The sequence below is a fragment of the Homo sapiens genome, chromosome 11 (assembly GCF_000001405.40).
Source record: "Homo sapiens chromosome 11, GRCh38.p14 Primary Assembly".
Classification (NCBI taxonomy): domain Eukaryota; kingdom Metazoa; phylum Chordata; class Mammalia; order Primates; family Hominidae; genus Homo; species Homo sapiens.
The window spans coordinates 33,339,725-33,358,261 of NC_000011.10; the positions used below are offsets into that span (position 1 = coordinate 33,339,725).

At 36.1% G+C, this 18,537-nt stretch overlaps 1 protein-coding gene across 7 annotated transcripts in view; it reads left to right on the plus strand.

The window, feature by feature from the left end:
• Positions 1 to 17,299, plus strand: part of HIPK3 (homeodomain interacting protein kinase 3) — a 100,352-nt gene extending 83,053 nt beyond the window's left edge. For 4 of the 7 annotated variants that reach the window (NM_001278163.2, NM_001048200.3, NM_001278162.2 and 1 more), the window contains exons 7-16: positions 1,244 to 1,403; positions 1,839 to 1,962; positions 7,569 to 7,690; positions 7,905 to 8,029; positions 8,128 to 8,289; positions 8,798 to 9,094; positions 9,423 to 9,563; positions 11,884 to 12,119; positions 12,414 to 12,541; positions 13,368 to 17,299. In NM_001278163.2, coding sequence (NP_001265092.1) covers positions 1,244 to 1,403; positions 1,839 to 1,962; positions 7,569 to 7,690; positions 7,905 to 8,029; positions 8,128 to 8,289; positions 8,798 to 9,094; positions 9,423 to 9,563; positions 11,884 to 12,119; positions 12,414 to 12,541; positions 13,368 to 13,844 — 1,972 coding nt within the window. In that variant the 3' untranslated portion in view covers positions 13,845 to 17,299. Of the gene's footprint in view, positions 1 to 1,243; positions 1,404 to 1,838; positions 1,963 to 7,568; positions 7,691 to 7,904; positions 8,030 to 8,127; positions 8,290 to 8,441; positions 8,505 to 8,797; positions 9,095 to 9,422; positions 9,564 to 11,883; positions 12,120 to 12,413; positions 12,542 to 13,367 lie in introns of all 7 variants that reach the window. The other 3 variants (NM_005734.5, XM_047426223.1, XM_047426225.1) reach the window with 1 other exon arrangement.
• Positions 17,300 to 18,537: the final 1,238 nt, after the last annotated feature.

Below are 18,537 nucleotides of genomic sequence, written 5' to 3' on the forward strand. Positions count from 1 at the left end.
CAGTGTTCCTTCTCCAAAATGCGATACTAAAAATAAGACTGAGTGGTTTTGTTTTTATTATACATGACTTTCTTACCTTAATAACCAGGCATATATAAAAGGAAATGCTAACAGTTTTCTCTTTAAAGTCACATTTCAGTTTTCCTACACTGTAGGTTCTATCATATTTTGAGTCGTGCAACTTCCATTTTACATTTTTTTTTCCCCACAACTTTTGCTTTCCTTTTTCCTCTTTTTCTCCTGCATTTTGAAGAAAAGGAGGTTTTTCATGGGTCAGTAGATCATAGGTCAGTAGGGAAGAATATATACTAAAATTCCAAAGGCCTTAAATATTACAAATTCTTTGTGTTTTGTTTGTTTGTTTGTTTTGGAGACAGGGTCTTGCTCTGTCAGTTGCCCAGGCTGGAGTGCAGTGGCACAATCTTTGCTCACTACAACCTCCGCCTCACAGGCTCAAGTGCTCCTCCCACCACCTCAGCCTCCTGAGTAGCTGGGACTACAGGCATACGCCACCATGCCTGGCAAATTTTTCGTAGAGATGGGGTTTCACCATGTCACCCAGGTTGGTCTCGAACTTCTGGGCTCAAGTGATCCACCCACCTTGGCCTCCCAAAGTGCTGGGACTATAGGTGTGTGCCACTGCACCTGGCCAAATCTTACAAATTCTTTGAACCTCAGACATATTTTGGGAGATGAAGGGAGTAAATTTAAGTGACTTAAAATGGCTTCCTTCAGTATTTAAAAAGACAAAATGAAGAAGGCATGGGAATGAATCCAATATTTATCATTGTGAATTGTTCTTAAAAATTACGTTTTTCTACAGCCCAGTTACATTTTCCCCTCAAACACTTAAAATGTCCTAATGTTTTTCATATACAGTCACTTTGAAAGTAACATGATAGCAACTCTTTGGTACTGTTAATTTAGTGGTGTGGAGATCTCGAAATTTCGGAAAAAGTTTTTCGTGTAGGGGATCGTAAAATTATTGCATGCTAACCAAAAAATGCTTACTGTGGTTTTACTGTTTTAAGAAAAATATTGCAGAATATATACTTTTACTTGCTCTGAAACTTAATCTTTTCTGGTAAGATTTCCTGTTAGAAATACTATTGGAAATAAGCAGATTAAGTGCAAATTAGGATTTTTTTCTTTTAGGAATAATTTTTTTATTTTGTCAATGTACCTCAATTTAAAACTAAGCTTTTAAAATAATACTGTAATACCTTCACTTTTTCTTTTACAGTGTAAAGTCCTGTTTTCATATTATGGATATTTGTAAGTCCCACCTAAATTCATGTGACACAAATAATCACAACAAAACTTCACTTTTAAGACCAGTTGCTTCAAGCAGTACTGCTACACTGACTGCAAATTTTACTAAAATCGGAACATTAAGAAGTCAGGTAAGAATGTGTAGTAATTAATAACTTAGGGTCTTTTTTTAATGATTGCGCATTTTACTTTTGATATATACAGAAGTTTGGTGTCAGTTGTTAGAATGTACAGTGCTGTGAGGTCTTACTATACCTGTTTTTACCAAATCTCTTAAAATTCCAAGGTAATAATTGGAACATATCTACTCCGATTCACTTTTTGCCATTCCTCTCTTCATTCTCTCAATACCTTTCACCTGCCCTTCTATGCCACAACTCTACCAAAAGTAGAGGTCAGTAGAATCGGTTTTTAAATTTTAATTTCGGCAGCTTGTTTTTGTTCTCATTTTCTGGACACATTTTAATAGTAGAATTATGATCTTAAGAAATGTGTTTGAATTCTATTTATACAGCGTGTATATTTCATTTAGAAGACTGCTCTATATAATGTGCTCGTTGTTTCAGGCATTGACCACATCTGCTCATTCAGTTGTGCACCATGGAATACCTCTGCAGGCAGGAACTGCTCAGTTTGGTTGTGGTGATGCTTTTCAGCAGACATTGATTATCTGTCCCCCAGCTATTCAAGGTATTATTTTATTTAAATTTTGCTTTGAATCTAGGCATGCTTTATTTTAAAATAAGTTTAGGAATCTGTTCATTAAATATATTGTATAATTTTTGCTGCATTTAGTGCTACATTTGAATTTAAGCTGTTCAGGCCAAGTGTGGTGTTTCACGCCTGTAATCCCAGCACTTTGGGAGGCTGAGGTAGGCGGATCACTTGAGGCCAGGAGTTTGAGACCAGCCTGGCCAACATGGTGAAACCTCAGCTTTCCTAAAAATACAAAAAATTAGCTGGGTATGGTGGTGCGTGCCTGTAGTCCCAGCTACTCGGGAGGCTGAAGCTGGGAAATGGAGGTTGAAGCTGGAAAGTGGAGGTTGCAGAGAGCCGAGATTGCGCCACTGCGCTCTAGCCTGGGCGACAGAGTGAGACTCTGTCTCAAAAAAAAAAAAAAAAAAAAAAAAATTTAAGCTGTTCAATAAGCCTTCAGACCAGTGACACTCATTTCTTGACTGGAACTCCGTTACAGTCATCACTAACAAAATGGGTCATATGATAACTGTATTTCCTGTAGAGTCTAGCATGATAAAATACCTTAATAGGAATGAATGAACTTGGGCTACAGGTTGGCCTATACTGGGTATCACTGTTTTAGACATTTAGCTACCAATACTAAACATAAAAGTGACTGAGAGCTCAGTTATTTAAAATTTTGGTCAAAAGAGTTTTGTCCCAAAATATTATAGTCTTTATTGATAGCTTAGGTAATAAATAATGGATTGATTTCAATTACATTAATGTCCCTTCATTAAATAAAAATAGCCAATTAAATCCTCAAGCGGAATGGGTGACAGAATACCTTTGAAGAGGCTATACATTCTTTTTTTTTTTTTTTTTTGAGACAGAGTTTCACTCTTGTTGCCCAGGCAGGAGTGCAATGGCACTATCTCGGCGCACTGCAACCTGCAGCCTCCGCCTCCCGGGTTCAAGCAATTCTGCCTTAGCCTCCCGAGTAGCTGGGAAGCTGGGATTACAGGCATGCGCCACCACGCCTGGCTAATTTTGTATTTTTAGTAGAGACGGGGTTTTTCCATGTTGGTCTTGAACTCCTGACCTCAGGTGATCCACCTGCCTCGGCCTCCCAAAATGTTGGGATTACAGGGGTGAGCCACCATACCTGGCTGGCTATACATTCTTAAACTAGGAAATCTCTTAGTGGTTTCTAGGGAATCATAGCAGCAAACCTCACTACTGGAATAACTGGACTAAAACCCTACTTCCTAAGTCCTTTCCTGGGATTTTGTCCTTGCTAAGCTTTAACATCTAGTTAATGCAAGAGGTCAATTACAGATGGGGCCCTAAACCAACATGTCCAACTTAGTGGTGATACTGTACAGAGTAAATGAAAACAGTTGGTGCTGAGTCAGGACACCTGGAATCTAATTCTGTTTCTCCTGTTTGCTGTATCATTGTAGGCTAGCCTGTTTACTTATTTCAGCCTTAGTAGAAGGAAATAGCCTGAATAGATAATATATTGGCCATTTCTAACTCTAATATATTTTGATTCTGAAGGATTATTTGATTTTGTGTGTGTGTGTGTGTGTGTGTGTGTGTGTGTGTGTGTGTGTCTTTTTTTGAGATAGTGTCTTGCTCTGTTGCCCAGGCTAGAGTGTGGTAGCACGATCTTGGCTCACTGCACCTCCACCTCCTGAGTTCAGGTGATTCTCATGCCTCAGCCTCCCAAGTAGCTGGGGTTACAGGTATGCACCACCACTCCTGGCTAATTTTTGTATTTTTAGTATGTACAGGGTTTCACCATGTTGGCCAGGCTGGTCTCGAACTCCTGACCTCAAGTGATCTGCCTGCCTCAGCCTCTCATAGTGCTGGGATTACAGTCATTAGCCGCTGCGCCCAGCCTCTGATTTTTTAATTTTAAGCATTCAAGCAACTCTAAAACTTTTTTTATTTTAATATTTACCTCAGTACCAAATAAAAAACCAAGAATATGTTTGTTGACTTGATTTGCTGGTAATAAGAGATGTGAAAACAGGTCAGATCTTTAGTTACTGTTGTTCTATCGGGGTAGCTTTATTTTCATTGTTTTTATATATTGGATTTTCAAGTAATGTATCATTGGGAGAAGGATTTATATCATAGAAAGTATAATAAAAGGGCAACTTAGATGGTTGATTCTGAAGGTGAAATTGTGGCCCAGTGGCCACAGTGGTGGTCTGTGAGTATCTGTAACAGTGACATTTTTATTACTTTCTGGTAATAAAAATGCCCACATCATTGTAGTGTTAGGAATAATAGATGCTAACAATATAATGCTGTTGTGTTTTTCAGTTTTTTCCCCCAAGTGTTTATTATAGGAATTTCAAACATACAGAAAAATTGAAAGAATAATATGTTTTCTACCCTAGATTCAACAGGTGTTACTATTTTACCATATTTGCATTATCAATCTACCTACCTACCTACAGTGCACATACATGTACTATTTGAAATTAAATGGTAGATTTTATGACACTACTTCTAAATACTTCAGCATGCAAGATTGCTGTTTAAAAATTTTTTTTAATCAGTTATTACTTGTGTTATCTTGACAAATGCATTTTCACTTAAATTTATAATCTGTACTAACAAGTAGGTTATTTGGTTCTAGTAATCCCTCCCATGTACCAAAATCAGTTTGAGGGTCACCACTTATACTGTGGTATATTTCACGAAGATTTAGAATAGCAGGTTTTTTTTCAGAGCCTAGCTTCTTTGGCAAAAACTTAAAGAGACTTCGGAGACACATTTCTAAACAGCATTGAGCATAATTCTTAAAACATTTCAATGAGGTTAGAAAAATCTTTTATCTTTTTATATGGCTTATAATTGATGAAAAGTTAGAAACCTTTCTGTACATAAAGTAACAACTATATCAGTGGTTTACAATATGGGATAATCGAAGGAAAAGAATTACTGTCACAGACTCATTAACCCATTAAATGTCATGAACAGCACTTTTGAATTAGAATTACTAGTGAGAAGAAGCACAGTATGTTTTAGCTTTTATAACAGGTGCAGTTGCAGCAACAGGCCAGGCAGGCTCTGTAAGTATGTTGTTTCTCTTCTTAGTAGAGTGTCTGCCTTAGAAATGAAAGCACTCCCTCTACAGTCTTAGTATCTAACGGGTAGATGTTATATAGAAATTGTAATGTAGAAAATTTCAGCATTGGGCTTCTTGCCCCTCCCCTTCATTTACCCTTTCCCTTCAGAATGTGTCAATCCATTTACAAGAAACATTTAAAAATAATTATTGGGCAGCTATTTGAGATAGTAATTATGGTACCATTGTGGTTTGTATTTTAAAATAAACTTTATCCCTTTGACTTAAAAATTTTACTTTGGAGCTATCATGTTTAAGTAATGCATTTAATATATTTTAGATATTATAATATGTAGGTATAGGTATATAAATACTATATCCATAAGACTGTGCTTATTTTAAAAAGTCAGTTTATTTTTAAAAATCAGCTAAGCTTTTATTTAACATCTGAGTGTTTTATATATTAAACAAGCTTTTAAAATTATTTAGTGACCTGAAAAGTTAGGTATTCATCCCCTCTAGATGACAACTACTATATTAGAGTAAAATATATTCCAGCAAAATTCTCTTCTGTTATACTAAAATAATATTCATAAGCTTTTTATGTCTTGTCTTCCAAGTATTAAAGCAAATATAATCAAAGATAAAGTTTCAGCTAACCTAATAACTAACTATACAAAAATTAAGATCTTATCCCACTGTTGAATCTGATCAAAAATTAGATCTCCTGTGGAGAGGGTATATAGGAGAATTCTTCTCATCTTAAGGCATTGCTTGTGGAGAGAATTTACAGACAATGAGATTTTTGTTCAGATTTGGAAATTTGCTCTCTCTGTTCATCCTTGTCAAAGTGAAGAGATTTTTTTTTTCTTGAAGAGATTGTCTATATATTGCAATATATCTACACTGCCTGGGTGTGCTTATATTCCATGTCTTGGAGAATTGGATGATCAAGACAGGCTTTTTAGCAGGAGTAAGAAGATTTTTATTAAACTTGACTCATACCTGGCTCTTTAGGTGGAGCACAGAGAGTAGAATACCCTGGTATGGTAGTAAGGTAACAGTCTCAGTGAAGAAAATAAACAGGCTGAAATGGACATTCTCTTTAGGATTAACACTTACATCTGTGAAATAGAAAATTTGAGGTTGTTTTACAATAGAGAAAGAAAACAATTGTAGTATTTTTCTCTTATGCCTGAAGAGAAACACTCAACATCACATTTATCCCCAAATTGATTATATTATATTTAAATAATTTGCAAGCCCATGTTGAAAGTAACTGCTGCAATAAACTGGAATTATGAAGTGCTGAAATGATTTTCATTAATGTACTTTCTGATCTTCGGGGATGTCCCTAAAATCTTGTCAAAACTTTAAGCTGGAATGTGATACTACTTTGCTCTCTCAGAGTTCAATATTATAAGACTTAATATTTGCAAGGTGCTTTGCAGTGAAAACAGCTATATTAACATTATAGTAACATTAACAGGATTAACATGTCTGGTAATCCTGCTTTCTAATTTTCCTAGTGGGCAAGCAAAATGGTAGCATGTTTGTTCTGGAGTTTCAGCTCTCTGCTAAGAATACTAGTCAATTAAGCCACATTGCGGAAACCTTAGTTTTATCATCAAATTGGTAAATAGGTTAGTTTTGCCTTTCCTTTGGAGGTTGAAATGAGTGTGCCATCCCGGAATTTTCATCCATTATGTGAACCATTATGTCCATTAAATTATGAAGTTGTGATGTATTTCTGTTTTGGTGACAGGAGCATAAGATTCTATCACAGTTTTAAAGAAGAAGATAACTAAGCATAGCTAAAAGTTTGTATGAAAAGAAGAACCTTCACCTGCTAGGTTGTCAGCATACTAAGCCAGATTCTTCTTTCCATGTTCTTTATCATGGTGACTGAACTATTTAAAAAGGAAAATAAAGCTTCAATAGCAAACTTCGGAGATGAGAAGTTTCAAGAAAATTAAATCGTTCAACTTTGTAGTATGCATTTTGAAACAGAAAGGGAAGCTTTATGATAATTTTTGGAATGATGTATATCACAAAGTAGACAAGAAGTACCTCATTTTGCTACTAGATTGCTCTGTTAGTGTTATGAAAATTTTATGCAGAGAATGGTATCATAACTCCACAATCAGGGCTGGGTGTGGTGGCTCATGCCTGTGATACCAGAAATTTGGGAGGCCGAGGTAGGAGGATCTCTTGAGCCCAGGAGTGCAAGACCAGCCTGAGCAACATAGACCCTGTCTCTACCAAAAATTAAAGAGATTAGCTGGGCATGGTATATGCCTGTGGTCCCAGCTGCTCAAGAGGTTGAGGTGGGAGGATCCACTTGAGTCCAGGAGGTTGAGGCCACAGTATGGATCATGCCACTGTGCTCCAGTCTGGGCAACAGAGCGAGGCCCTGTCTCAAAAAAAAAAAAAATCTGTCAGAATCTAAGCAATTCTTGACATTTAAAATAATTGTATAAGTTAAATAAGAGGAAGATTTTTTCTTTTATTTGATAACTATTCTGTTTCACAGGTATTCCTGCAACACATGGTAAACCCACCAGTTATTCAATAAGGGTAGATAATACAGTTCCACTTGTAACTCAGGCCCCAGCTGTGCAGCCACTACAGATCCGACCAGGAGTTCTTTCTCAGGTTGGTAATAATTCATTCTTTGCCATATATCAGCTTGTGCTTTTGGGAAATAGTGAAAATGACCTGGATAGGGATTTAATCCATTTTGTAGGTTATGGACTTTAATGTTTATAATTGTTAGCTGTTACTTTTAGATAGTTTTGAGTTTAAGATATGGTAAAGTTCAATTACTTATAACTTGTTATTTTCTATTGTTTTGCTTTGCTGCAAGCAGACGTGGTCTGGTAGAACACAGCAGATGCTGGTGCCTGCCTGGCAACAGGTGACACCCCTGGCTCCTGCTACTACTACACTAACTTCTGAGAGTGTGGCTGGTTCACACAGGCTTGGAGACTGGGGGTAAGCTGAAAACAAAAGTACTTTGTGAATAGTTTGCAGACTAGATCTTGATTAAAGAAAGATCTTGATTAAAAACATTGTTCTGAACTTCTCCCTAGGAAGATGATTTCATGCAGCAATCATTATAACTCAGTGATGCCGCAGCCTCTTCTGACCAATCAGATAACTTTATCTGCCCCTCAGCCAGTTAGTGTGGGGATTGCACATGTTGTCTGGCCTCAGCCTGCCACTACCAAGAAAAATAAACAGTGCCAGAACAGGTTGGTATTGGTGCTTTAGCTTTCCTCTGCATTTTGAGAATCTTTTAAATGAATTTTGCATGTACTCTAAAGGGTCACTCTGTTGTATTCAAAATGACCTCTTTTATAGCTTTGTTACAAACACTAAGCCAGCTCCCTTCTCAATTTCTCAGAGGTATTTTGGTAAAACTAATGGAATGGGAGCCAGGAAGAGAGGAAATAAATGCTTTCAGTTGGTAAGATTGTCTTTATTGCCCTTTTGATTTATTATCTACCTGTAATGTAGCAATTGTGGACATTCAGATAGCACATTTACCAAAAAGCAACTATTTAAATGTATGTAAATGCAGTCTACATGGATATTTCTAGAGCTATTTTATATTTCACAAAAACTCAAGATCTGTTAGTGTGTTATATTCATGAACTCGAACAAGTGAAGGTTCTCATTTTCTGGTTTAACAAGATACCTTAGACAATTGATTATACATATTTTGATTATAGAAATTATAAATTATTCCTTTGGTTGCAGGAGTAATTCATTACAGAATACCAATATCCCACATTCAGCATTTATTTCTCCAAAGATAATTAATGGGAAAGATGTCGAGGAAGTAAGTTGTATAGAAACACAGGACAATCAGAACTCAGAAGGAGAGGCAAGAAATTGCTGTGAAACATCTATCAGACAGGACTCTGATTCATCAGTTTCAGACAAACAGCGGCAAACCATCATTATTGCCGACTCCCCGAGTCCTGCAGTGAGTGTCATCACTATCAGCAGTGACACTGATGAGGAAGAGACTTCCCAGAGACATTCACTCAGAGAGTAAGTGCCAAACGCTGCATCCTCAAAGGATATAGATGGCATCCTTTGGTGTGCCGAAAAACAACTTTCTGTGACTTATTTCTTGTTTGTCAATGTACTCTGGAGTAAAACCTTTAAATTAGATAACCCAGTTCTAGACAGGGAACTTTCTAAATAACATTTAGCACGATTATTATAGCATTTTCCTTGTATCTGTAAGCTTTAACTTTTTGTCCATGTAGGTCATTCTTAACAGTTTCATATCCTTAATTAAAGAATATAAATTTTGGCTATTTGGAGAGTATCTTCTTGTATTTGACTCATGTTTTTCCCTTTTCTCTTCCACTAGATGTAAAGGTAGTCTAGATTGTGAAGCTTGCCAGAGCACTTTGAATATTGATCGGATGTGTTCATTAAGTAGTCCTGATAGTACTCTGAGTACCAGCTCCTCAGGGCAGTCCAGCCCATCCCCCTGCAAGAGACCGAATAGGTAAAAGAATCTCAATAGTAGTGTGTAATAAATAGTAAGTCTACTAAAAAGCCTACGATTTCTTTCTGTTGTTTAATAAGTACCTGCCAGTTTACCACAGTGACTTCTATCTTGAACACAATTTTTGAACTAGATCAGTTTTTATAAACACAGGTTTGTTTGTTTGTTTGTTTGTTTTTGAGACAGGGTCTTGCTTTGTTGCCCAGGCTGGAATGCAGTGGCATGATCTCGGCTCACAGCAACCTCTGCCTCCCAGGCTCAAGCAATCCTCTTGCCTTAGCCTCTTGAGTAGCTGGGACCACAGGTGCGCACAGCGATGCTCGGCTAATTTTTAAGTTTTTTTTGTAGAGATGGGATCTTGCCCTGTTGCACAGGCTGGTCTTGAACTCCTGGGCTCAACCAGTGCTCCCACCTTGGCCTCCCAAAGTGCTGGGATTACAGGCATGAGCCACCATACCTAACTAAATAATCTTTTTTTGCTGAGGGGCGGGTGGGAGGAGATGAAGTGTGGCTCTGTCACCTAGGCTGGAGTGCAATGGTGTGATCTTGGCTCACCGCAGCCTCCGCCTCCCCAGGTTCAAGTGAGTCTCCTGCCTCAGCCTCCCATGTAGCTGGGACTACAGGAACCTGCCACCACACCTGGCTAATTTTTTGTATTTTTAGTAGAGATGGGGTTTCACCAGGACATGCTGGTCTTGAACTCCTTACCTCAGGTGATCTGCCTGCCTCAGCCTCCCAAAATGCTAGGATTACAGGCGTGAGCCACCACATCCAGCCAAATAATCTATTTTTGAAAGGATAAAAAAGCCACATTCTTAATTTCAGCCCCACAGACTACTATTGTAACTTAAATTTGGAATAAAAACATATACTTTAGCAAAATTAAAAAGGAATGTTTTGCATAATGAAGTACTCACTGGCCCACTGTCTACAGGACATCCACTATGATTTTTTTCTCCCATTGGTGACTGATTTGCATGGTTTTATCCATATTAACCTGGCTTACCCATCCTTTGGCCAGCGACATGTACCACTGCTAAGATAGTAAGCTTGTCCTAAGCAGAATGATTTACTAACGCATTGAGAGATAAGCCACAGTCTAGGCACAGTGGCCAACACTTGTAATCCCAGCACTTTGGGAGGCCAAGGCAGGAGGATCACTTGAGGCCAAGAGTTCGAGACCAGCCTGGACAACATAGTGAGACCCCGCCTCTACCAAAAATTAAAAAAAAAAAAAAAAGCAGGATGTGGTGTTGCATGCCTGTAGTGCTAGCTACTCAGGAGGCTGAGGCAGGAGGATTATTTGAGCCCTGTAATTTGAGGCTGCAGTGAGCTATGATCACACCACTGCACTATAGCCTGGGCAACAGAGTAAGACCCTATCTCTTAGAAAGGAAGGAAGGAAGGAGGGGAAGGAAAGAAAGAAATAAAGTCTTATTTTAGTGGCAACAAACATTTGAAAAATTTTAAGTTTTAATTTTACACATCTTTTTCCTTAGGAAATATGATATTGCATTCTTATAGCCAAAGCTCTATGGAAAATATAAGGAAATTTTAATGTATCTTCTTAAAAGTTGCTTATAATATGGTTTGAAAATTGATAATGTACATAACTATACATTCACATGTAAAATATATATAAACAAATATACGTATAAGATATATAAATAAAAATATGTATAAAAAGAGATGCTTCAAATTCGTAAGTAAGTATGGAATGAGTGGTTGAAACAGACAATAAATGCTGTAGAAATCCCAAGGAGAGAGAGATTGTCAGGGCCCAAGAGTGTCAGGAAGAGATGAGAAATATGGGGCTCTGTCTAGGCCTTCAGAGGTGTGGGGATACCTTTCAGATACCTGGTTAGGTACAAGGACCCAAATTACCAGCAGAGGCACATATCCTGATGTTAGAATTTAATTTGAAATAGCCAAGTCACATACATATATGTTTGTATATTTCATTTAAATTATCCAGAGCAGTGCCTCTTTTGTCATGTCTTGATGAAATTATCTGGAATTTATAAAGAGGAATTTTATGAGCTGCTACTAAGGATCAAATGGGAAGGGAAAGAAGAAAAAAAAAATGCCAAAATGATGTTCCTGAAATGGAACAGAATTAGGTTTGGCAGTTGGAACAGAGAATTAATTTAAGGGTCTAGAAATTTTATGAAAAAGTGCTATTGGACAAGGAAAAAGGTGTAATTATATATAAAATAACTGAATAATGTTCTCATCAGTTCACTGGAGCCTGAATATTACTTAACATTAGATTTAATGTTGGAAAAAAATATCACTCATAAAAAATGCTTTCTTTTTGTAGTATGTCAGATGAAGAGCAAGAAAGTAGTTGTGATACGGTGGATGGCTCTCCGACATCTGACTCTTCCGGGCATGACAGTCCATTTGCAGAGAGCACTTTTGTGGAGGACACTCATGAAAACACAGAATTGGTATCCTCTGCTGACACAGAAACCAAGCCAGCTGTCTGTTCTGTTGTGGTGCCACCAGTGGAACTAGAAAATGGCTTAAATGCCGATGAGCATATGGCAAACACAGGTAAGTTGAGTCCTCCCATTTCTCTGGTTGTCCTTTAAATACGGTCTTAATTTAGGAAAATCTGAGAATGCAGTTGCCAAAGTCATCTCTGAATTTTGACTTGACCCTGCCTTATGTATTGTACAGAGGAAATCTTCTAGTATTATCCAGTGCTTGGAAACCATGACCTCTCCTTTGATTTTATTTAATTTTAAGGCTCTCAAATCACTATTGTGTAAAATATCTAAAGACTTTGCTAATTTTTTATTTGAAAAGGAAAAAGCATAAACTCTTTAATATTTTATTCGTCGCCAGATTCTATATGCCAGCCATTAATAAAAGGACGATCTGCCCCTGGAAGATTAAACCAGCCTTCTGCAGTGGGTACTCGTCAGCAAAAATTGACATCAGCATTCCAGCAGCAGCATTTGAACTTCAGTCAGGTATGTTCATTTGTGGATATGTAGGAGTCTGTGGGATTCAAATTTAGCAGTTGTTTTTCACGTGGAGGAGAAAGCTTCTGAAACTGTATGTAGTGTTAATGAATTTTTCCCTTCTCATTATCCCAAGTGGCTAAAGAGTAACTGGCTTAATAATAGGATAATTAAGCAAATTATCCATAGAACTTGTAGCCTTTTTCAGAAAGATTAAGTCCTTAGGTTCTCTTACATAATATTAACAGAGTGTGTCTGTTATCTCAGAACATCATTAACCTTCCTGAATACTTTCCATCTTATTCAACACTATATTTGGCGGTTGTGTTTCAGTTGGGAAAAGAAAAGATCACAGATACTGGAGTTGGACGGGGATTCAAATCTTGGTTTTGCCATGTACTATATATATATATTACCTTGGCCAGGTCTTTTCAACAAATCTGATTTGGAGCACAGTTAATGGGAATCGTAATTATATCATGGGTTGTTTTAGAAGTAAATAACATTGTGTATGTAAATGTTAGCTTTACATATAAGAAGTGCTCCACAAATGGTAGCTGTTAGTAGTGATGGGGATAGTAATAGGTAGTACTAGCAGCAGTAATAGCAGTGTTTATATTATAATAATATGTAGTAATAAATACTAAAATGTTAATACTAATATATATGGAATTGATATTTTTCTCTCCTCTAGTTATTCTTAGTATAAGTTAGTTCTGAGAGATCCACTATGAGTTATCAATCACAAAGGGTATATTGTAATTTCCCTTTCTTTCTTTCCTTTTATCTTTTAAGGTATGTTATTCAGTCATTTTTTTTTTTTCTTTGTGGATAGGTTCAGCACTTTGGATCTGGGCATCAAGAGTGGAATGGAAACTTTGGGCACAGAAGACAGCAAGCTTATATTCCTACTAGTGTTACCAGTAATCCATTCACTCTTTCTCATGGAAGTCCCAATCACACAGCAGTGCATGCCCACCTGGCTGGAAATACACACCTCGGAGGACAGCCTACTCTACTTCCATACCCATCATCAGCCACCCTCAGTAGTGCTGCACCAGTGGCCCACCTGTTAGCCTCTCCGTGTACCTCAAGACCTATGTTACAGCATCCAACTTATAATATCTCCCATCCCAGTGGCATAGTTCACCAAGTCCCAGTGGGCTTAAATCCCCGTCTGTTACCATCCCCAACCATTCATCAGACTCAGTACAAACCAATCTTCCCACCACATTCTTACATTGCAGCATCACCTGCATATACTGGATTTCCACTGAGTCCAACAAAACTCAGCCAGTATCCATATATGTGAAAAACAGTATATTGGGGAAGCTCAATGATACAAACATTTGATTAAAAATAAAAACATGGTATTTAATATTAGCCATGGCACAAGAAAATTATTTTTGAATCATGTAGACTTGGGTGCAATTTAAACAACTTTGAGCTTTAAAAACTCACTTTTGATGTGTTTTGCACATTTGGTATAACTTGTCTTTGGTCATGTTATCTTCTTATGTAGTAACTCTAGACAGGTGACTTATGGGAGCAGAAGTCCAGTTTTGCTCCTGCTATTTTTTATAAATTGCCTTCTAACTAGTGCAAGACACGTCTACATTTGGGAAGCCATTCTGTGTACAGACTTAGAGCAACAGATGCACATATGTCAGAATTACAGCATACAAGTGAATTGTATTATCCGTGTCTTAGTGTATAAATGTTGGGTCACTTACCTAAGAAATTGAGCTATTGTTCTTTACATTTGCATGTGTCTTTTGCATGGGCAAAATGTTGCCTAGACTTTGCTCTTAAATGTTGTTCTAATAATCTCAGCTGCATTGTAAACCGTTCCTACACATAGTGCCTTAAATATTTGAGGTTGTTAATGTTATTACCTATATATAAATGTTGAGGACTGCAGCACTTAAAATTCAGACCTACTATTTAGTTTCCTTTTGATAGCGTAATGTTCATTTTTGTTTTTGTGTGGTATGATTTCAGGTAGTAGCTGTTTTTTTCCTTATTAAGAGGGCAGCATGTTTGCTATAGCTGAATTCTGCTGTCTGATTTTTCAGAATGATCTAGCTTCAAGAAAAGCAAGCAGTTAGTAGTGCTTAAGAAAAATTGATTCAGTATCTAATGGATAGTTGATAACTGTCACAGCACAGCATTTTATATACTGTTAAGTGAAACTGCAATACAATCTAAGTTTATTTTGAGAGTGTTTGCTGTATAATTGGACTTAATAAAATGTTTAGAGGTACAGTAGGCATGACTTTGGGTAGATAATAAAATGCAAAATGCTCATTGATTCATGATGTGGTTTTATCTTAGCTTGGGCAAACCATGCAGTATTTAATAAATAGTAGCAGAACTTTTACTATTGAAGCTTGAAAAGATGTGAGTTCTTTGTGTGCAATTTTTGATTTATGCATGTGAGAGGGTTTTTTTTTTTTTTAAGTATTTTTACATTGCAGTACTTGTTTTGCTTGTTGGTGATGTTTGCTTATTTAATACATTCCGTCAGGGACAGAAATTACATGCTTTTTTTTCTTTCTAGGAAGTGTGTTGAGTTCCCCCCTTCCCCGACATTTTTTTCTTTTTTGGGTGGTGGTGATGGTAGTGGTTATGTCTGTTTAAATGAAGTTGCTTTTACAGCACCAAAGACTTAATCATCCATTTCCTATATAAAGGTAGCTACTTTTTGCATAGACCTCAAGTATATTGTAGTGTAAAGGTGGAATTTAAGGAAAGGTATTAAATTGAGGCTGTGTTTTAGCTTACAGGCAAGTAATAAATTGTATCATTTATCTTGAATGTATCATAGATAAGCTGCTATATAACGATTGCCACTTCAGATAGCTGTGAAATTAGGTGATTAACTAGTTGTTATTTAGCCTTCTAATTTCTGTATAAGTCTAATTACATGAATAGAAATTGGGGTTTTGATTTTTTACTTTGCTTTTCTGTTTGGAGTGTCATTGTAACTACTGTATTGTAAATGGTGGAAAATAATTGCATTTGTTACTTTGGGGTGTGTTATTTGCATCAGTATTTTATCTCTATTAATGTTTGTGCTCATCACTGCATATTAAAAAAACTTGGATGTATCAGTGTAACTTAATTTTTTATTTTCATACTGGCATTGTAGACACTTGAGAAAGCTGTATCTTGCAGGCTTGACTTAACTTTTTTCCTTAAAAATCTGGAATATAATCTTACAGCATTTACTGGAATAAACAGTACAAAGCATTGGAGTGTAAAACTCTAGATGTTTTGGATTTACAGCGTTTCTTTGATAAATGAATTGTATACCACTAGTACAGCTCTAGTACAGCGTTCACAATAAGCTAATAATGGATAAGTTTTCTTCACTCCATTAACACAAGCAGTGTTTTATTTAATAATCATCAATGAAATAAATGTGCCTGAAATTGATTTTAAAAATTACAGTATTAGATCATAAAGTAAAAACCAGCAGTACATTTTTAGTCACACTGAAAATGAAGGACTTAATTTTCCCCACAAGTTTCAGTGTTTTTAGTAATTAATTCTATGCATTTTATACAAATAGAAATATATATATATAAAAAATTAAATGTTTAAAAAGGAGTAGCCTAAGATTAATTTAAAAGATTATTTACAGATGACACATTTATGGGGTCACTATTTAAGTAAATTTGCTGCCCTCCACAGCCTTCTAATTTTATTTATATGTTCCAGCAGATTATTAGGATCTGCTTACTTCTTAGGAAAGAATCAATGCTGGCAACACATTGTTTCAGAAACACCAAGTGCAAAGGATTGATTGTATCACAACAGGTACAAAACTGACAGAGTTTTCTTTTTGTTTAGGGCCATGTTTACTACCCTGAAATGTTGTATTTTTTGTCTTTAATTTCCAAGACTTAAAGCAGTCTTGTTAAATTGACATAAATGGTAAACTTCAACATTTTCATAATACAGTATTAATGTTTGATAAAGGTATATCCCAGTTAACTACACTGCTCTTTAATTGCAATCATGGGCATTTTAATGTATTTTAAAATAAATTTCAAAATTCTGCTAAATTCTTAATTTAGCATATTGACAAAGTAATCTGGATTTATACCTTTTAAAAACCATTTTGACCAGTTTTCTTCGGTTTTAATGCTTTCTTAAATAAAACACTGCATGATTTCCAAGTTGCATATTTGCATACTATTTTAATTTGCAAAATGTTTTTTAAATCAAATATCCTGATATTTAGTTGTTTTTTTTTTCCTCCAGCGTGTTTAATTAAATATGTTACTGTATTAGCAAAACATTTTCATTTTTAAAATCTGCTAATTTTAAACTTGGACTGTGTTAAGTAAAAGTTAAATCATACACTGCAAGGTGTAGGAAGATTTGTTTTAATGAATCCAATGATACAGATTTGATTACTAAGTTTGAACTGTTAATTGTTTAACAATTTTAGACTTGTGGCTTTCTTTCTTTGGTTTATTTGTTTTTGCTTTTACTCCTATGCTACACTAGTTTGCCATGTAGCAATTGCACTGTGCAATATTACAATAAGGACTGGGAAAATTTTATGGATGTAATGTCTATTACGGTTTGCGATAGTATTTCTCTCTAGTTCTCAGTGATTTAAATGTGACCAAGCCTTCTGTACTTTGTCACAAAAAGCGGGTTTTCCAGGTGACTATTTTGGTGAGTGTCAAAATAAGAATTTATGGTGTATTACTGTCGATTCACTTTGAATTAAAATATATATATTGCAGCAAACAGCTTGTTGACTTTTTTTCCACCCCAATACTCCTTACAGGGTAGGGAAGGGAGAGGTTAACAATATTGAGTATCTATTAATAACTTACATCATCTTATTTAACTCTCAAAGCCACCTTGTGAGATAGGTATTATTATCTTTGTTACACAAATGAGGGCATAGCTGCAGAATGTTTAGGGAACTTGCACAAAGTCACATTGTCAATGAGTTGGAATCTGAGATACACACCAGGATATCAAACCATAACTAATCTACTTTCTATCAGTTCTTTTAAAACCGAAGTCTGAGGCAGTGTACCCGGACTACCTGCAACCATAAGATGACCCTGTCCCATTTTCCTTCAATATTAAGTTTCCGCAAATATTTTTTGAGAGAAATAATTTCTGTTCAATATGTGTGGATGAATAGGGAATTCACATGTATCTTTAATACTTAAAACATATGACTTCGAAAGAATGTGATTGTAGTAGGCCAGCTTACATCCTAAAATACCAACACCTCATAATTCAAGGATCTAACTTTCAAGGAACCTCAGTTGGAAAGTTTCTAGGGGAGCACTCCCCCAGAACACAATAGTGAGAATACGTATTTTCAATTTCTGCCTTCCCCTATCAATGTTTAATTGAAGTATAACATATATGCATTCTTTGGCATCTGGCTATTTTTTGTTAAACATTTATAAGATACATCCATGTTGTGTGTAGTTCATTTATACTCATTGCTGTATAGTAATCCTTTGTGTGTATACAGAACTATTTTGTTGATGGACATTTGACATCTGAATAGTTTCTACCTCCTGGCTATTATGAATAGGGCTGCCATGAATGTTTTGTCCATATCTCTTGGTGAACATATGCATGCATTTCCTTTGGGTATATATGTAGACGTGCATTACTAGGACATAGGGTGTATACAGATACTGCCAAACACTATTCCAAAGTAGTTAATGTACACTTATTAGCAATGTATGAGAGTTCTAGTTGCTTTATGTCCTCACTAACACATTATTTTTTGTTTCTTTTGTTTTAGTCATTCTTTTGAGGGTGAGTTTTTCAAAATAACATGAACATTTTCATTTAGGTCAAAGCACTGATCGTACATAGAGATGAAATTCAGATTTTGCAATTTACTTGAAAGTAAATTAGCCTCTTGAAAAAAATACTAAGAAGCATTCAGCTATTTAAATAGATCTAGGAATATAAATTTTTTTTCTCTGAAACAGGGTAATAGGATGAAA